This window comes from Homo sapiens, chromosome 1, assembly GCF_000001405.40.
Source record: "Homo sapiens chromosome 1, GRCh38.p14 Primary Assembly".
NCBI classification, from domain to species: domain Eukaryota; kingdom Metazoa; phylum Chordata; class Mammalia; order Primates; family Hominidae; genus Homo; species Homo sapiens.
In genome coordinates, this window is record NC_000001.11 from 117939201 (window position 1) to 117956225 (window position 17025).

Consider the following 17025-nt stretch of genomic DNA (forward strand, 5'->3'; position numbering starts at 1 on the left):
AGATTTATGCTGAACAGCCATTATCTTAATTTGATTATACGAGGTTAGAGACAAACTGCTAGTATCACAAAAGTAACAATTTCACCGCAGGCCATTTTTTTCTCTGTAAAAGTGAGACTTCTCTTAGTGCATTTTGAAAGGGTTGTCGATATGCCTTTTCTTTGCCTTTAAATTGCTAGACATTTTACTACGGTGTAACAGACTTTTGGAATGTCATATTATGCTACCTGGAATCTCTTGAAAATCGTATTACTCAAATCTTTTTATATTCTATAGGTATGGGGGTTGGTTCTGTTGTCAGAAGAAAAGCGACTCATCACTGGGGCCTCAGACAGTGAACTGAGGGTATGGGACATAGCTTATCTGCAAGAGGTAATTACTTCTTAAAATCATGGGCAATATGTTTAGAAGTTTCATAAGCACCTTGGATTTAGAATCAGATGTAATTATTCAGTACTTCACATCATATTAGAAGGAATTCTATCACACCAATAACCTGCAACACTTAAAAAAGCTTTTCTTCCTTATATGCTCATTATCCTTATTTATTTGAGCTCAGGTTAGCTTTAGGCTTACAGCTTCTGGTAATACTAATGTTTTAGTTTGTGGCACTCTTAATCAGATATTCTTGGACCTTTGGGTGTCCATGGATGGCCTTCAGAATATCTGTGAACCTTTCCCCTCAAATATATATGTAGAATTTTATGTTTATAAATATGTATATTCTGAAAAGATCTATAACTTTTTCTTAGACATTCAAAGAATTTACATAGAAGAAAAGCTTGCAGACCTTAGGTTTAGCTGAATTTCGGTGTGTGCTGGGTCCAGCAGCCATTTCGATGGGAGTTACATTAGTAGGCTAGGGGTTATCTTTTCTTTATTTAAGGAGAAAATGTATCTACCTGTCTTGCGATGCTTTTGCAATTCCTAATGCCAATTTGAATTTTTTGTTCTATAATATGGTCAACCTTTCACCTAAATACAGAAAATTTTGAAGTTAGTGAAGAGTGGGGTCATTATTTTTTCACCATTGTCACTAAACAGTAGTCCTTATGCTATAGAAAGTTTTTGGAGATAGTATAATAAGTAATATTTTGTTTGTATATTATGTAGTCAGTTTTTAATAAGTTCTGATACCTGCCTTGCTACTGAAGAGGTTTGATAAGGGAGATCACTGATTAGAAGCTGTTATTGGCCATAAGAAAGATTTCTAAGTCTTCAGGATTAAGAGTTACCTCCTGGGCCAGGCACAGTGGTTCATGCCTATAATCCCAGTACTTTGGGAGGCTGAGATAGGAAGATCACTTGAGTCCACACACACGTTTGAGGCCAGCCTGGGCAATATGGCAAGAACCTGTCTCTACAAAAAATTTAAAAATTAGTCAAGCACAGTGGTGTGTGCCTGTGGTTTCAGCTATTTGGGAGGCTGAGGTGGGAGGATGGCTTGAGCCCAGGAGATCAAGGCTGCAGTGAGATGTGATCATGCCATTGCACTCCAGCCTGGGCGACAGAGTAAGACTCTGTCTCCGACAACAACAACAACAACAACAAAACAACAACAACAACAACAACATGCCTCCTGGAACATACTATTTCAGCTTTTATTTTCTCATTTTTATAAAACAGATTGAAGACCCGGAAGAACCAGACCCCAAGAAAATCAAAGGATCTTCTCCTGGAATACAAGATACTCTTGAGGCAGAGGATGGTGCCTTTGAGACGGATGAAGCCCCTGAGGATGTAATTCATTTTCATTTCTTAAGTTTAATTGTGTTGAATAATGGGAAAGTAAGAATTGCAGATTTTTAGGGAATCATCACTTTAGGGAATATTTTTGTCACTTGCACTTATTAGAATTATGTTTTTTTCAGAAGTTCAGCAGAACTTACATCTAACCTTCATCTGCTCTTGCTTCTTCTGTAGCGAATCCTTTCATGCAGAAAAGCTGGTTCCATAATGCGGGAAGGAAGAGACAGAGTTGTAAACCTTGCAGTCGACAAGACAGGCAGGATTCTTGCTTGCCATGTGAGTACCATACTTAGGAGAAAATAACAAGGACTAGGCTGTTCCTTCCAAACACTCATTCTTTCATATTCAATGTAAAGATGACTTTTTCTTGACTCATGTTAATAATTCATTATATGGTACTGTGTGGACCTATAATCTCTAGCTTTATTAGCATAACAACAAAAATATTAATAATTACTATTAGGTTGGTGGAAAAGTAATTGTGGTTTTTGCCATTTAAAAAGTAATAATTGCAATTACTTTTGTACCAGTATTATTATTAGCAACCATTTATTAAATGCTTGCTCTTCTAAGCAATTTAAGAGCATTTAACTTCTTGTTCAGCCTTCAGAGCAATGCTACAAGTAGGAAATGGTATCCTCATTTTACAGATGAGATAGCAAACCCAGAGAGATTAAGTTGTCCAAGGTAATACAACTACTAAGGGAAGAAAAATAAATATTGTTGTTTACTTTTAATTGAGAATTAGGTAAATTACAAATTACCTCTCCTTGACTCACATTAACCTTTTGCCTTTCTAGGGAACTGACTCTGTGCTAGAATTGTTTTGTATCCTTTCCAAAAAGGAAATTCAGAAGAAAATGGATAAGAAGATGAAGAAAGCTAGAAAGAAAGCAAAGTATGTTTTCTTAATACTTACATTAATAATGAAGTATCCTGGGTAGGCCCCATGTTACTGAAAAAAAACTGGCTTCTTTCATATTTACTGTCTTATCAATTACCATTAAAAGTTAAAGAACTTGTGAGGTATCGATAACCCAAATTTGTCAAGTCTCAGAGAGACAGAAAATCATCTGATTTGGCAAATCTTTTGATACCTATTCTGGTTTATTTAACATGGTTGGATTGTTAAGTGCAGGTTAATGAGTTTTCTAAAAAGTCCTGAAATTAGAAAAATAACCGGAGACATTTCAGTGGAATAGTTGGAATTACAAGGACCTTGTTACAAGAAATTTTATGGGCTATTGCATTCAGAATCCATTTCTTAAGGGTACCTATTAAGTGAAATAATACTTTATGACATTGTAGTGTACAAAGCATTTCCACTTATACTACATTGTTTAATTATCATGGTAATCCTGTGTGGTTAAGTGACTTTTCCAGAATAACACAGTTTGTTGGTCAAGGGGCCAGATTTTGAACTCAAGTAAGAGCAAAGCTGCTTCTAGAAAAATAAGAGCATGATATACTTTTCTTCTTCCCTCTAGATTACATTCTAGCAAAGGAGAGGAGGAAGATCCTGAGGTTAATGTTGAAATGAGTCTGCAAGATGAAATCCAGCGGGTGACTAATATAAAAACTTCTGCCAAAATCAAGTGAGTAAAAATAAATTATCTGAAGTTATAGAAATAGTAAGCTACCAAGTATTATTGGCTTTTTCATGCTATTTGTAAGCTGTCTGTATGAATTATATATGTGGAGACGGTGGTCATGAGACATCTGTGTCACACTCTGCTCCTGTTGTCCTAATCATGGGCCCACTTTTTGTCTTGTATTTGGATTATTATAGTACCCTTTTTAGCTAGTCATTTACTGTCTTTTCCTGCAGCTAATTTAAGAAAAAGAAAAGTGTGTCCCACGTTCAGAAAGGATATAAGGTCACTTATAAAGAATACATACACAGAACCAAAGTATGTATCAGAACCAGGATCTGAGCCTAGTTTTTTTTTTTTTTTTTTTTTTTTACTTAAAAGCCTACTCAGCTACTACTCAATACTCGGAGCACTCTTTTAATTTTTTTTGAGATGGAGTCTTGCTCTGTTGCCCAGGCTGGAGTGCAGTGGCATGATCTCGGCTCAGTGCAACCTCCATCTCTCAGGTTCAAGCGATTCTCCTGCCTCACCCTCCGCAGTAACTGGGATTACAGACTTGTGCCACCACACTCAGCTAATTTTTGTATTTTTAATGGAGATGGTGTTTCGCCATGTTGGCCAGGCTGGTCTCAAACTCCTGACCTCAAGTGATCCACCCGCCTCGGCCTCCCAACATGCTGGGATTACAGGCGTGAGCCACTGCACCCAGCCTCAGGGCACTCTTACTTGAAAAATTGTTTATAGTTATTCAAACTTTATATAGATAGAGGACATTGTAAAGCCTTTTCCTGGAAAAAGTAAACCTTGTGAGCTAAGATGGTAGCTAGAACATTTATGATTATTTTCTTGTACAGGTCCTTTGACTTGATTCATTCACCTCACGGAGAGTTAAAGGCTGTCTTCCTGCTGCAGAACAACCTGGTGGAATTGTATTCACTGAATCCATCCTTGCCTACTCCTCAGCCTGTCAGGACAAGCAGAATCACTATTGGGGGTCATCGCAGTGATGTGCGGACTTTGTCATTCAGCTCAGACAATATTGCTGTTCTTTCAGCTGCAGCTGATTCCATTAAAATATGGAACAGGTTCGTGAAATGATGTTTTATATAGCTGTAGTTAGTAGTATTTCTTTTAATTTTTTTTGGTACTCTTAAGGGTTAGTTATTAACTCCTTAAGGCCCTAAATACAATTATCTTTAGTGCATTTGGGCCATTAGCCTGTGGAGCTTAGAGAAGAAAAAGTTGCCTTTTAAAATGTGGTGCAAAAAAAAAAAAAGGCAAGCTTATTCCATGTTTAGAGCTTGTAACTGTACTTGGCTAGAGAAAAACACACAACCATACTACCTACTCTTTAAACTTAATAAAAAGCAGGCTGTTATTGCTGCCCAGTAATTGTACCCTAATTTCTCACCCTTCTTTTACTTTCCCAGATGACTGTTTTATACCTTGCTTCTGTTGTCAAATCAAATACCTCCAAAACCTTGAAGCTAATGATCATATCTCCCACCTTAAAGGAAATAATAACCCTCTCTCACCCCTGCATTGCTCTCCAGTTACTACCCCATTCTCTGATTTGTTTTCTCCATTCTGTCTTCATCTGTCTCCCATCAAGCTTTTGTCCCCACTGTTTCACCAAAACAGTCATTGTCATCAGTGATCTTGTTTCCAAATCCATTGAGCTAAAAGCTTTATTTTATGCTTTGTCCTTGAATTGATGACTTTCTGTCTTTGACACACTCTTTGACTTTCATTATTTCCCCTTCCCTTGCTGTCTGTTTATTCTCAGTCCTCGCTCCATCTTTCTTATCTTTATGACGTCTAAGTGTTAGAGTGCTTTAGGGCAGAGTCTTTGGACCTTTTGTGTATCTAAACTCACTTTATGTAATCTGTCATGTAGCTTTCTCTGTATGATGACACATAAATTTATATCCAGCTTTAACCTCCTCCCTAAACATCAAATTCATATATACAAATACTTTGTGTCACCACTTGGATGTCTAATTAAGCATTTCAAACTTTTATGTGTCCCAAACCAAACTTACGTTGTTCATGTCTCCAAAAATCTTCCCACCTGCTATTCCTTCAGACTTCCCTATCTTAATAAATGATTACTTGCTACCAGTTGTAGTCTAAACCTTGTAGCCATTCTTGATTTTCTTTTATTTATTTATTTATTTTGAGACAGAGGCTCGCTCTGTCGCCCAGGCTGGAGTGCATTGATGTGATCTCGCCTCACTGCAACCTCCACCTCCTGGGTTCAAGTGGTTTTCCTGTGTCAGCCTCCCGAGTAGCTGGGATTACAGGCGTGTGCCACCACGCCTGGCTAATTTTTGTATTTTTAGTAGAGACAGAGTTTTACCATGTTGGCCTCAAACTCCTGACCTCAAGTGATCCACCCATCTCGGTCTCCCAAAGTGCTGGGATTACAGGCATGAGCCACCGCACCCAGCCCATTGTTGATTTTCGTATCCCATATTCATCCAATCTATTAGCAAATCCTATCAGCTCTACCTTCAAAAGTGATCCCAAATCCAGCCTCATCTTACCACCTGCACTGCCACTACCCCATTCAAACCACTGTCATCTCTCATCTGGGTTATTGTAAAGCCCCCTGACTGGTGTCCCTGCTTTCTTGCTTGCCCCTCTATAGTCTGTTCTCAACACAGTAGCCAGTGTAATCTTTTTATAGTGGAAGTTAGATCACTTCCAGTAGTTCCATCTCACTCTACCTACCTTACACACCTTATCTCTTACTACTCTCCTTTTCTGCTCCACTAGAGCCACACTGGTCTTCTTGCTATTCCTTCAACAGAACAAGAATGTGCCTTTCTTATGGCTGTTGTGCTCCCTGTTCTTTCTGCCTGAATCCATCTTCCCCATTTATCCATAAGCTTTTTCTGTGTCTTATCAGATGACAGTCCTATCATTCTTACCCTACTCCTTGCACTCTTCATCCTCTTCTCCCAGCATTATGTTGCTCTATAGCACCTAACACCTGATATACCAAATATTTAGATATTTATTATTCCCAAAGAATGTTAACCTTTATGAGATTAGGAACCTCTGCTGTTTCATCCACTGTTGTATCTCCAGCACCTAGAACAGTACCTGGTAATGTAGTGGGCATTCAGTAAATGTTTGTTAAGTGGACATTTGATATATATTTGATTAATTAATTAATGTTTGTGGTCCTATAAAAAATGTAGGGATATGTAATGATGTACTAATTTGACTTGTAATCCTTCAGACTCACTCACTTCTTGGTAATGGCAGATTGGGCTCCGTGGAGCCCAGCAGACACTTTTCTACTCTGCTTTTGTGTGATTTCTGTTCCTTAGGATTTGGAGGCCTTATAAAGTAAACAAAGTTTGGTGCTTTTTAGTATTTTCTCCCATGACTATAATTGTGTGTGAGTCAAGGGTTTTTAAGACTTTTATCTTCTTTTATGTTGATCTGTCTAAGTGCATTGAAACCTACACACTGACCTCTAAAATGGGGATGCAGATTCTCTTAACATGAGTTCTTTATTTTTTCTTTCTCATAGGTCTACACTGCAGTGTATTCGCACAATGACCTGTGAATATGCACTTTGCTCATTCTTTGTACCTGGTGATAGACAGGTAGTCATAGGAACAAAGGTAAATGGAGACTTTTTCTGGGATATCTGGATCTTTTCTACTCAAAATTCATAAAGTTAAGAAATCTGGTTCTTCTTTTTAGCATATTGGAAATGGACTGGAGCTAAGTAATCTGGGAGGATGTTAGTTTATTACATATTTTGTTTACTGAAGTTTTACTTTATTTTTTAAAAATTATGAAGAAGAAAATTAAAATCATGACCCTGAGATAACTACCATTAACATTTTGGTGATCATCCTTTCATGTGTCTTTTTATGGGCGCATATGTAATTGTGTTTTAATTAATGATAAAATATATTAAGGGTAATAATTAAATATATTAAGTACCTAATATCATGCTTGGCAGACAGAAGCATTCAGTAAAGACAAACTGATCAAGTCCTTATTCCTAGGTGCTAGTCAGATTGGGAGACAACCATGTGGAAATAAGCAGATATGGATTTGGATTTAGTTTCTGCCCTTTAGAAATAGGTAATTTGGGCCGGGCGCAGTGGCTCACACCTGTAATCCCAGCACTTTGGGAGGCCGAGGCAGGCGGATCACAAGGTCAGGAGATCGAGACCATCCTGGCTAACACGGTGAAACCCTGTCTCTACTAAAAATACAAAAAATTAGGTGGGTGTGGTGGCGGGCGCCTGTAGTCCCAGCTACTCGGGAGGCTGAGGCAGGAGAATGGCGTGAACCCGGGAGGTGGAGCTTGCAGTGAGCCGAGATAGTACCACTGCACTCCAGCCTGGGTGACAGAGCAAGACTCCATCTCAAAAAAAAAAAAAAAAAAAAATGAGTAATTTGGAGCAAGTCACATAACTGCTCATAGTGTGTTCCTTTATATTATGGGATGACGACACTTGCTTTTTGACAGCAGCTTTCGTACCAGATGGACTGGTACCAGCCTCTGGCACTTACTAGCTATGTGACCTTAACCCTGTTAGCCTTGGTGTTCTCGTGGAAAATGACGTTACTGACCCATTTCACAGAGATGAAGTATACAAAACTCTTAGCAGAGAAACTAGCCTGCAGCGAATAGCTAATCGATAATAGAGCTGGTAGCAGACATAGCAGTAGTGATTGTACCAGTAGTGAGAATAAAATGGAACAAGGTCTATGGAGTGTTTTGAAAAGTGCTTTGCAAGTATTTGTCATTATTATTCCCATAAAACAAAGCCATATGTACATGAGTTTTATTACAAAATGTATGGATCACAATGGATATTTCTTGCTTCAACAAAAAAATGTAGGCTGGAGAGATTTTAGGAACAATGCCAGGAAACAGTATTCACATCTCAAAACTTTCCTTCCTTTTTCACTCTTTCAACAAATGTCCATCTCTGATTTGCCGTCGGGAAAGTAGTTTTTTAATTGCTTAAGACTACCCATGTGGCTAAAATGCAATTGTCGGCTTACTGGCTGTGCTAGGCAATTAATGTACATTATCTCATTTAATCCTGACAACATCTTTGAAACATTGGTGATATAAATTTCATTTTACAGATGAAAAACTAGGTTCATGGGGATGAATTTACCAATGGGCACAAAGCAGACCTGGTACTCAAGTCTTTTAGCTTATGCTGTCTGTACCACCTTGTGCAGAAGCTCATCGTAAAACAGGCTTTGCCTCTGTGTGTGTTACATGCTGACACCATGACTATGGCATATACAGACCTCTAAATAGGAATTTTAGAGTGATTGCTTTCTATGCCATTATGATTTTTTTTTAAATTCACTGCCTTCCTTAGTGCTGTAGGTAGATCCCATTTCTTATTGTCAATGTATTGCAGAGGAGGAAACCAAAAGCAGATGGAAAAGAGGTGGTTGCTTAAGCCAATAACTATAGAGGATCATCCGCTTAAAGGATTGGCTAAACTTTAAAGGCTTTTAGGTTTGCATTTGCTATTTTGTTTATTCTGATTTGCCTATGGTCATGATATTTTCCTTGTGAAGTTGTGTAACCAATGAAAGTAATGCATCCAGTACTGCATGGTGGTATTATTCCATACTTCTACACTATGGTAGCCCTGCCAAGGTTAACCCAGCACATCAGTAGGGGATTTAATAGTATTTAATCAGGTAGGAAATACAGAACATGGAATGTGGGATCCATTTCCTAAGCAATGGATCACATTTTTGCAGCTTGGTTATGAAGTCTTTTCTAAATTGTGCAGTCATGAATCATGGAGGTTGTACGTATGTTCATTGGAGCTGTGCTCATTTTGTGTCTTCCCAGACAGGGAAGCTGCAGCTTTATGACTTGGCTTCAGGGAATCTGCTGGAGACAATAGATGCACATGATGGAGCTTTGTGGTCCATGTCCCTCTCTCCAGATCAGGTAACTAAACCAGATTTTAAAGCCCTGGAGTTCAGCCCTGTGGCTACCCTGATTTCTCTCAGGGTTTCTTTAAAGAAAGCCTGAGGTTTTTTTTTTTTTTTGGTCTAATCTTTAGTGTTTGTATATGATGCCTTCTTATAAATGACCACCTGTCATTATGAAATGAAATCTTGTTTGGCTACTTTTGCTTATCAGCAGCGTGACATCAAATTGCTTACCATCATGATTTTTTTGCCAATGTTTTGTAATACTTCTTAAGGGGGAATATTCTCTTGGGCAACATGATGCAGAGAACTGAATAGACTTTGCTGCTCCCCTTTTTTCCTCAAACAAACATCTATGACTGTATAAGCTAAGTAGTTTTAGCAAGTATGTCAGCCCTTACAAGTCAATAAATATGTGCTCACCTTCAGAGCAGTTCCTGGCAAAAGTATGCTTATTCTAATAATGGTGCTGTTGCTTAGAAAATCTTGAGATTTTTTTTTTTGACAACACCTTAAGAAATTTTGGCCCATTTATTTAAATATTCTCAATGATAGACAATTTTCATCCGTTGAAAGTAGAACTTAGTTTTGGAAAAAATCACTGAAGTTTAGAGTGTTTAATACCACTTGGGGTCCAAACGAAACAGCTGTGAGTCTAAAATAGTAATAAATCTTGCATTTGTAGAGTGTTCTATCTTTTCCATAAACTGTGTGGTCTTTTTTTCAACAAAACTAGGGATTTACGGAAAGGTTGTTTCCTGTGTTATAAATCTATGAGGGACAGACACTTGAGATCCAGTGTTCTATGTACTTTACACTAACACTGCCATGTAATGAGACTAATTTTCTTGATAACGGAAAACAGCTTCAAAACTATTTTAAGTAGGGACATTGCAGGACTAAATTTATATCCTTCTGAGGTGAATACTTTAAACAAATCTAGATTATCCATTCTATGTATATTTTTCAAACTGGTTTACTGAGAGTTTTTGTTTCTTCTTGATGCTAGATAATAGTATAACTAGAACTTTTCATTAGTTATTATTTCTGCCTATGTTAGTCGATGGTAGGAATTTTCACATAAGGTTTGTGGCAGCAGACCCAAAAGATCAGTGAAAGGGGCTAGGGAGAACCACGTTTTTCTTAATTTTTATCCCATGACGTTAAATAAAAATACTTTCTTAGACTTTTAAAATGTATCTTCATAGCAAAGTTTTTATGCTAAAATAGTTTTTAATTGAAATTTCATTTGATTTTCAGCGTGGCTTTGTGACAGGTGGTGCAGATAAATCTGTCAAATTCTGGGATTTTGAGTTAGTGAAAGATGAAAATAGTACCCAAAAGAGGTGAGTAGACATTTTTTGTGTCCATTTTTTGGAGTGAAAATGGGGAGCTATGGAATGGCCTTTTGACGTCTTATATCATTTGTTGTGCTCTAAAGAGTTAGGATTTGTCTGAATTTGTATACTCATTTATTTTTTCTTGATGTTTTTTGTGGTGCTAGACTTTCTGTGAAGCAAACCCGAACTTTGCAACTAGATGAAGATGTTCTGTGTGTCAGTTACTCTCCCAATCAAAAGCTATTGGCTGTGTCTTTGCTGGACTGTACTGTGAAAATTTTCTACGTTGATACTTTAAAGGTACAGTGGTTATGCCTGCGGATATTTTCCCTTTCTGACTGACTGACCTTAAGAATTTGGGTTGAGGCTATAAAGAAGTGGCCTTGACTGTGCCCAGCGATAGTACATTTCTAAAAATGTGTGTGTGAATCAAAGCAATGTAACTATGCTAGGGAAGCTAGCATTTTAAAATAATTCTATGGTTCATGAATTTTGTTTAAAGCAAGTTATATTTCATATGTTCAAAAAATCTTGTGGACAGAAAATTCTGTCATACTAAGTAGTTATAAGAGCATTGCTAGGTGTCCTGGGCAGTGATTTCACACTTGGCTATATATTAGGATCATCTAGGTTGCTTTTAAAAATATAGATTACTGAGCCCTATACCCAGAGAGTTGATAGGACCAGGTTGGGCCTGGGAAATTTTTTTGTGAAACAAATGCCCTGGAATCTTTTCAGTGAGGAGATACAGAGATCTGACTGAGGCAGTAAGCTTCTGGGGGCTTCCTTGCCTCCACTATACTGCAGTATTCTTGGCAAGCACATGGAGGGTCTGTGTAGTGGACACAGGTACTCCTGCCAAGCTGTCTTTTGTGGGTTGTCTTTGAAAATACAGATATAAAGCAATTTAAAAATGTGTTTAAAGTTATATTTTAGACCTACATGTAATAAATTATACCCATATTTTATAGACAGACATTAATTATGTTTTTTTGATGTTTAGTTTTTTCTGTCACTGTATGGACACAAACTGCCTGTTATATGCATGGACATCTCTCATGTAAGTAGTTTAAATAGTGTCTCAGTAATATGTTGTCTTTTTTACAGCAGATACTTTCTTAATTCTGGCTTGATGTCTTCATCTTAGATTATTTGTTTTTATCATCATTCTGTTATATATCTTTCTCCAAAAACAGTCTCAAATTAATATATATTGTATCTTATATATATTACTTTAATGTTTTCAGAATAATTTTGCAAATATCATCTCAATCAATCCTTATAAATATTATCTCTTTCCCTCTTGTAGCTCTCCCAAATAGTACTTTATTGTTTAAAATACTATAATTGGTAGAGTACACTAAAATATGAAAGACTTTAAAAAGGCATTCCTTTTTATTCTGAAGGATAATGCTGCTGAGGAGCTCGGATTTATATTTGGATAGTTACGGTATTTTACACTATGTAGACTTTTGGTCTCTTGACCAAAATCATTTATTTCCCAATACCTAGTTTTGATTAGGAGTGGCAATGTATATTAAAAACAATGTCTATTCTGCAGAGTGAGACTCCGTCTCAAAAAAAAAAAAAAAGTCTATTCTGTGTGAAAGGAGTTGACCTCATAGCTGTCTGTGGTCAGTGCACTAACAAAGTTAAGTTACAATGTTAAATGTATTTCTTTTTTTTTTTTTTTTTATGTTGACAACCATTTGGACCACGCATTGAAATAGGAGAGATAAGAGAAATACTGATAGGGAATGTGGGCTACATAAACATTCTAGTAGAGTCTTTCTCAGCTTCTCTTCTGTTTCTTTCTCCCACTTTCTTTCCAAATCCCATGCCAGAGATTAGAAAATCTTTTTCCTATCTAACGAAGTAAATAGATAACCCTATGTCAAGGCACAGCACTGCCCTGTGACAGTACGAAAGTATTTAAGCCACAGAGTTCGTGCTTTTACTTAACAAGCTTTTTAAGTTCCTCTGTAGGTAAGAGCAAAGAATTCAGTGTTTTTAGTAGAGATGAAAATCAGTTTTTTGGCTTCATTTTAATGTGTTTGAAAGAAATGGGTTAAATATTCTGGTTAGCTTTTTATTCATATACGGAATTCAAAAATCAAGGTAGTGTTTTACTTTTATTTCTCATAGGATGGAGCACTCATAGCAACTGGCTCCGCTGATAGGAATGTGAAAATCTGGGGTTTGGACTTTGGGGACTGCCACAAGTCTCTCTTTGCACATGATGACAGGTATGTATAGTCTTTTCAAATGTCTCCCTTTGAGTCACCTGTAAGTTATCACTTTCCTTGAGCATCTGTGTCTATTTTTCAGTGTTCTCAGGCAGTGATACAAGTTCTAAAATATAGTCAGACACCCTAGAACTAGCTAGTCAAAAGCTATTTATGTGTGTAAAACTCTTTTTACTAACCTGGAATTTGATGACATTTTAATATTTCTGTCACTTTTCAGTGTGATGTACCTACAGTTTGTACCCAAGTCTCACCTCTTCTTCACTGCCGGAAAAGATCATAAGATTAAACAGTGGGATGCAGACAAATTTGAACACATACAGACTCTGGAGGTAACCACATGCCTTCTGTGCTTGCTTGGTACTTAAGAAATACTTTTAAGAATATTTACATTACCCACTAAGTAGTGGTCAATGAATGAGGTATTCTTTATTTTTTTTTTCTCCTCCAGGGTCATCACCAGGAAATATGGTGTTTGGCTGTAAGCCCCAGTGGAGACTATGTTGTATCATCGTCCCATGACAAATCTCTGAGACTTTGGGAGAGAACAAGGGAGCCTCTTATTCTTGAGGAAGAAAGGGAGATGGTAAGAACTTTAGGCTTGGTTACAAATATGCCAGTAGGTATCTGACAGGCTGTCCTAGTTGAAGTTTTCTGTCTAGTGCAGTTACACCTGATGCATTGCCAAGTCCAAGAACCTTCAGGAGATCTTTTCAAGACCATTGTCACCCATTTCAGAAGCTAGGCAGAGATAAAGATGCCATTAGGGTATTATGTTGTCAAAGGAGCAGCTTCTCGCTTCCTCATTTCTCTTCATATAGAGACCATGTTTTTTTCTCTCAAATTAATGTATATCTATCTCATGGCAGGAAAGAGAAGCAGAATATGAGGAGAGTGTGGCCAAAGAAGACCAACCAGCAGTAAGTAAATTTTGGGGACCTTGAGATTATGCCCCATATATAGTTATCTTATTGAAATTGACTATAATGTCCAGAATTTCTAATAGAATTAAAATTGAGGCTAGAAGTTGCAGGTATCACCAGCTGATAAAGAATCTGTGTAATTCTTTCTCTTCAACTGTATATCCTAATTTTGTGGTTCAAGTGATTGACCAAATTTGCTACTGAATAATTATTCTGTCAATTGAGACTTTAGGGAATTATTTTATTCACTGTAGCACAAAAATAAAAATTAGAAAATTTGGATATTCTCTTTTTAAACATTTGCAGGATGTTCTTACAATAATACATATGCTAAGTTCTGTTACTGGTAGCTGATAACACTGTTAGTATTTTCATAAAATAATAATAGCTGTTCTCATATGGATGTAAGATTAATTTATCAGCTCTTTAACTCAACAGTCAACAGTGTTATTCAAGGATTTCTTTGTTTCTGGCAGGTTCCAGGAGAGACTCAAGGTGACAGTTACTTTACTGGAAAGAAAACTATTGAAACAGTGAAAGCAGTAAGTTGATATAGAATGTGGTATCTCGTTTTTTAATAAGATCTCAACTTTTTAGTAAAAGTTTTATTCTGTATCAACCAGAAAGCCATTTTTTTGGCAAAAAGTTGATGAGATTTAAAGATGGGGATTATAACCTGTTTCCTTCTCTTGTAACCAAAGATGGGAGTAGTCCTGAATCTCTTTGATCAATATGTGCTCCTTTCAGGTGTTCCTGGGACCTGCCCTATTCAGAGTGTCTAGATATCATCCCACCTGAGTCCATGACACTCAGTCTCTTCCCTGTACATTAAAAAATAAGAAAACCAAAAATGTCTTTAAATGCTTTTTGGCACTCTATTCGCACGTCTTTATTAAACAGATTGAAGCTATTTCATTTGGCAAATTTCTGGTCAGTTCTTCCAGTTTCAGTGTCCTGGGATGATGGAGTATGTTGTGATGACTTCTTTCCTTTCTCATCCTCTGTAGGCTGAGAGGATTATGGAGGCTATTGAGTTGTACCGAGAAGAAACTGCAAAAATGAAGGAACACAAAGCCATTTGTAAAGCTGCAGGGAAAGAGGTAATAAGAGAGTACAGTAAGTTACAGTATCAATAAAGGGAATTCCCAAGGAGAAAAACCATTGTTTTGGGATTTATTAACTAAGATCAGGATATGCAATAAATGGAATAGAATCTTTCCAACTCACTATATTAGAAGAAATTGAGGAAGTGTGGGAAGAAGGGAACTTGGTCTTAATGAAAGCGAAGGAAAGGAAATTACAGATTGAGGTGATTATTGTCTTGAGTAGAAACCCACGTTCTATGTTGGTTTGGGAGGCAGGGTAACCATTTCAGATTTCTAGATAAAATACATTGTCCAAGCTCATTCATGAGTACTATAGAAACTAACAGGTTTGATAATTCTTTTACACTCTGTCAGTTTTTTAGGGTCTCTTTTTTCCCTTTTCAAAATTATAAAATACAGTTACCACTCTGTCTATAACAAGTGCTACCTAAGTCTCAGTTTTTTTAATGACTTGATTTAATAATTTCTTCATAGGTTCCACTTCCCAGCAACCCCATCCTAATGGCTTATGGCAGTATCTCAGTGAGTAAAATGTCTAACGGTTTTCCTTTGTTTATTAAAAGGTTACTTACAAGGACAAGAAAGGAAGTAGAGGCATTATGATTTGGGGATGGATTATTGGGAATACTTTGTCTTCAAAAGTCTCTTTTGAATCTTGGCATTCTCTAGGATATTTTGTATTTCAAAAGGACCACTTTAGTGTGACTTCCCAAGCCAGCCTTTTTGGTTGGACTGGACTGGCATTCTTCTGTTTTCTAGTGCCTGTTTATGTTCAGTGTCCAAAGCCCTCTGAAGATTCTGTTAATCTAAATTAACTTTTGAATCAGCCTTCAGAAGGAAAGTTGACAGAAATCAGTCTGATGAGATAAAGAAGAGAGAGAGGGGAAGAGTGATGGGAGAATGTATGTTTATCTAGTAATCTCTAATTAGTATTTTATTGCATGTCTCATCACAGTAATTTTGTGAGTCAGGGTATCTTCACCTTATAGATAAGGAATCTGGCTTGACTTGTAGCATAGTTGGTAAGGGGCAGAGTTCAGTTGTCAACCCAGATCTGACTGACTCTAAACTCATGCAGATCTTGCCATTTTAGAATACTTTTTCTGAAGTAAGAAGGAGGGGTTCCTGTTTTATAGGAGATAGAAATTAGAGAACTTTAGTAGAAACCAACCAAGAGTATCACTAATGGTATTAATCCTTCCTTTATAGCCTTCAGCTTATGTATTAGAGATTTTTAAAGGGATCAAGTCGAGGTGAGTGAGTCCTTGCGCACAATTTTTGTAATCTGTCAGCAAACATTTATGAAGTGCTTATCTGAACGGGAAATAAATAGAAATTATAATTGATGGTTATCTTATAGGTTTAACTATATCAAAGTTTTGATGGAAAATAATTTATAATGTTCTTTTTGAAGTGCTAGAACTAGGAAGTTCCTTCTAAAGTATGAAGAGAGATGCTTTTAAGGACAAATAAAGGGGAGTGATTTATGTTGTAGGCGATGAAATAATATATAATTCAATTAGAAGCACCAATTGTTAATTTGTTTTATATTTTGGCTTCTTTTCTATGTACATACACAATTGGAATATTATATAAAGTTTTATATTCTGTTCTTTTTCACATATTTCCTGAACATTTGTTTGTTGTTCATATTCTTCAAAAAAAAAAAATCATTGGATTCAGAATTATTCCATTGTATGAATAATTACTCGATATTGCATTTGTTTCTCCTTTTTGGCTATTATCAGTGGCTTCACTGAATATGTTTACACATATATCTTTGTCATCATTATTGATTATTTTTCTTAAGAGTCCTAGCAGCCTAATAACTGACCAGTAGGCATAAGCTTTTAAAGTTTTATATTGCCAAATTACTTTCCAGGGTGATTATACTGATTTTTAGCAGGCTTTAAAAAATTTGTTGCCAGTGTGTGAGCCAAAAGGTAATATTTTATTATTTTCATTTCTTTTGACTATTAATGAAGTTAACATTTCAGCATATTTGTTGACCATTTGTATTTTGTCCTGTGAATTTTTAGTTACCTCTTTTTGCTCTTAAGTATTATTTTACTGGTTTTTAAAGAATTCTTGCTGGGCACAGTGGCTCATGTCTGTAATCC

The 17025-nt window shown here is 36.6% G+C and overlaps 2 protein-coding genes across 15 annotated transcripts in view; one reads left to right on the forward strand and one right to left on the reverse strand.

Moving 5' to 3' along the window:
- WDR3 (WD repeat domain 3) overlaps positions 1 to 17025 on the forward strand; it is a 36805-nt gene that overhangs the window by 9462 nt on the left and 10318 nt on the right. The window contains exons 6-24 of the mRNA NM_006784.3: positions 277 to 372; positions 1627 to 1740; positions 1924 to 2025; positions 2550 to 2647; positions 3237 to 3344; positions 4196 to 4426; positions 6886 to 6979; positions 9205 to 9306; positions 10551 to 10636; positions 10795 to 10930; positions 11634 to 11690; positions 12776 to 12876; positions 13097 to 13208; positions 13328 to 13462; positions 13746 to 13796; positions 14276 to 14341; positions 14807 to 14899; positions 15380 to 15427; positions 16115 to 16158. Of these exons, the coding sequence (NP_006775.1) occupies positions 277 to 372; positions 1627 to 1740; positions 1924 to 2025; positions 2550 to 2647; positions 3237 to 3344; positions 4196 to 4426; positions 6886 to 6979; positions 9205 to 9306; positions 10551 to 10636; positions 10795 to 10930; positions 11634 to 11690; positions 12776 to 12876; positions 13097 to 13208; positions 13328 to 13462; positions 13746 to 13796; positions 14276 to 14341; positions 14807 to 14899; positions 15380 to 15427; positions 16115 to 16158 (1874 nt within the window). The remainder of the gene's footprint in view (positions 1 to 276; positions 373 to 1626; positions 1741 to 1923; positions 2026 to 2549; positions 2648 to 3236; positions 3345 to 4195; positions 4427 to 6885; positions 6980 to 9204; positions 9307 to 10550; positions 10637 to 10794; positions 10931 to 11633; positions 11691 to 12775; positions 12877 to 13096; positions 13209 to 13327; positions 13463 to 13745; positions 13797 to 14275; positions 14342 to 14806; positions 14900 to 15379; positions 15428 to 16114; positions 16159 to 17025) is intronic.
- Positions 14390 to 17025, reverse strand: part of SPAG17 (sperm associated antigen 17) — a 231639-nt gene continuing 229003 nt past the window's right edge. For 13 of the 14 annotated variants that reach the window (XM_006710427.4, XM_006710426.4, XM_011540934.2 and 10 more), the window contains one exon: positions 14390 to 14849. The gene's annotated coding sequence lies outside the window, so the exon portion shown is untranslated. Of the gene's footprint in view, positions 14850 to 15887; positions 16031 to 17025 lie in introns of all 14 variants that reach the window. The other variant, XR_946574.2, reaches the window with a different exon arrangement.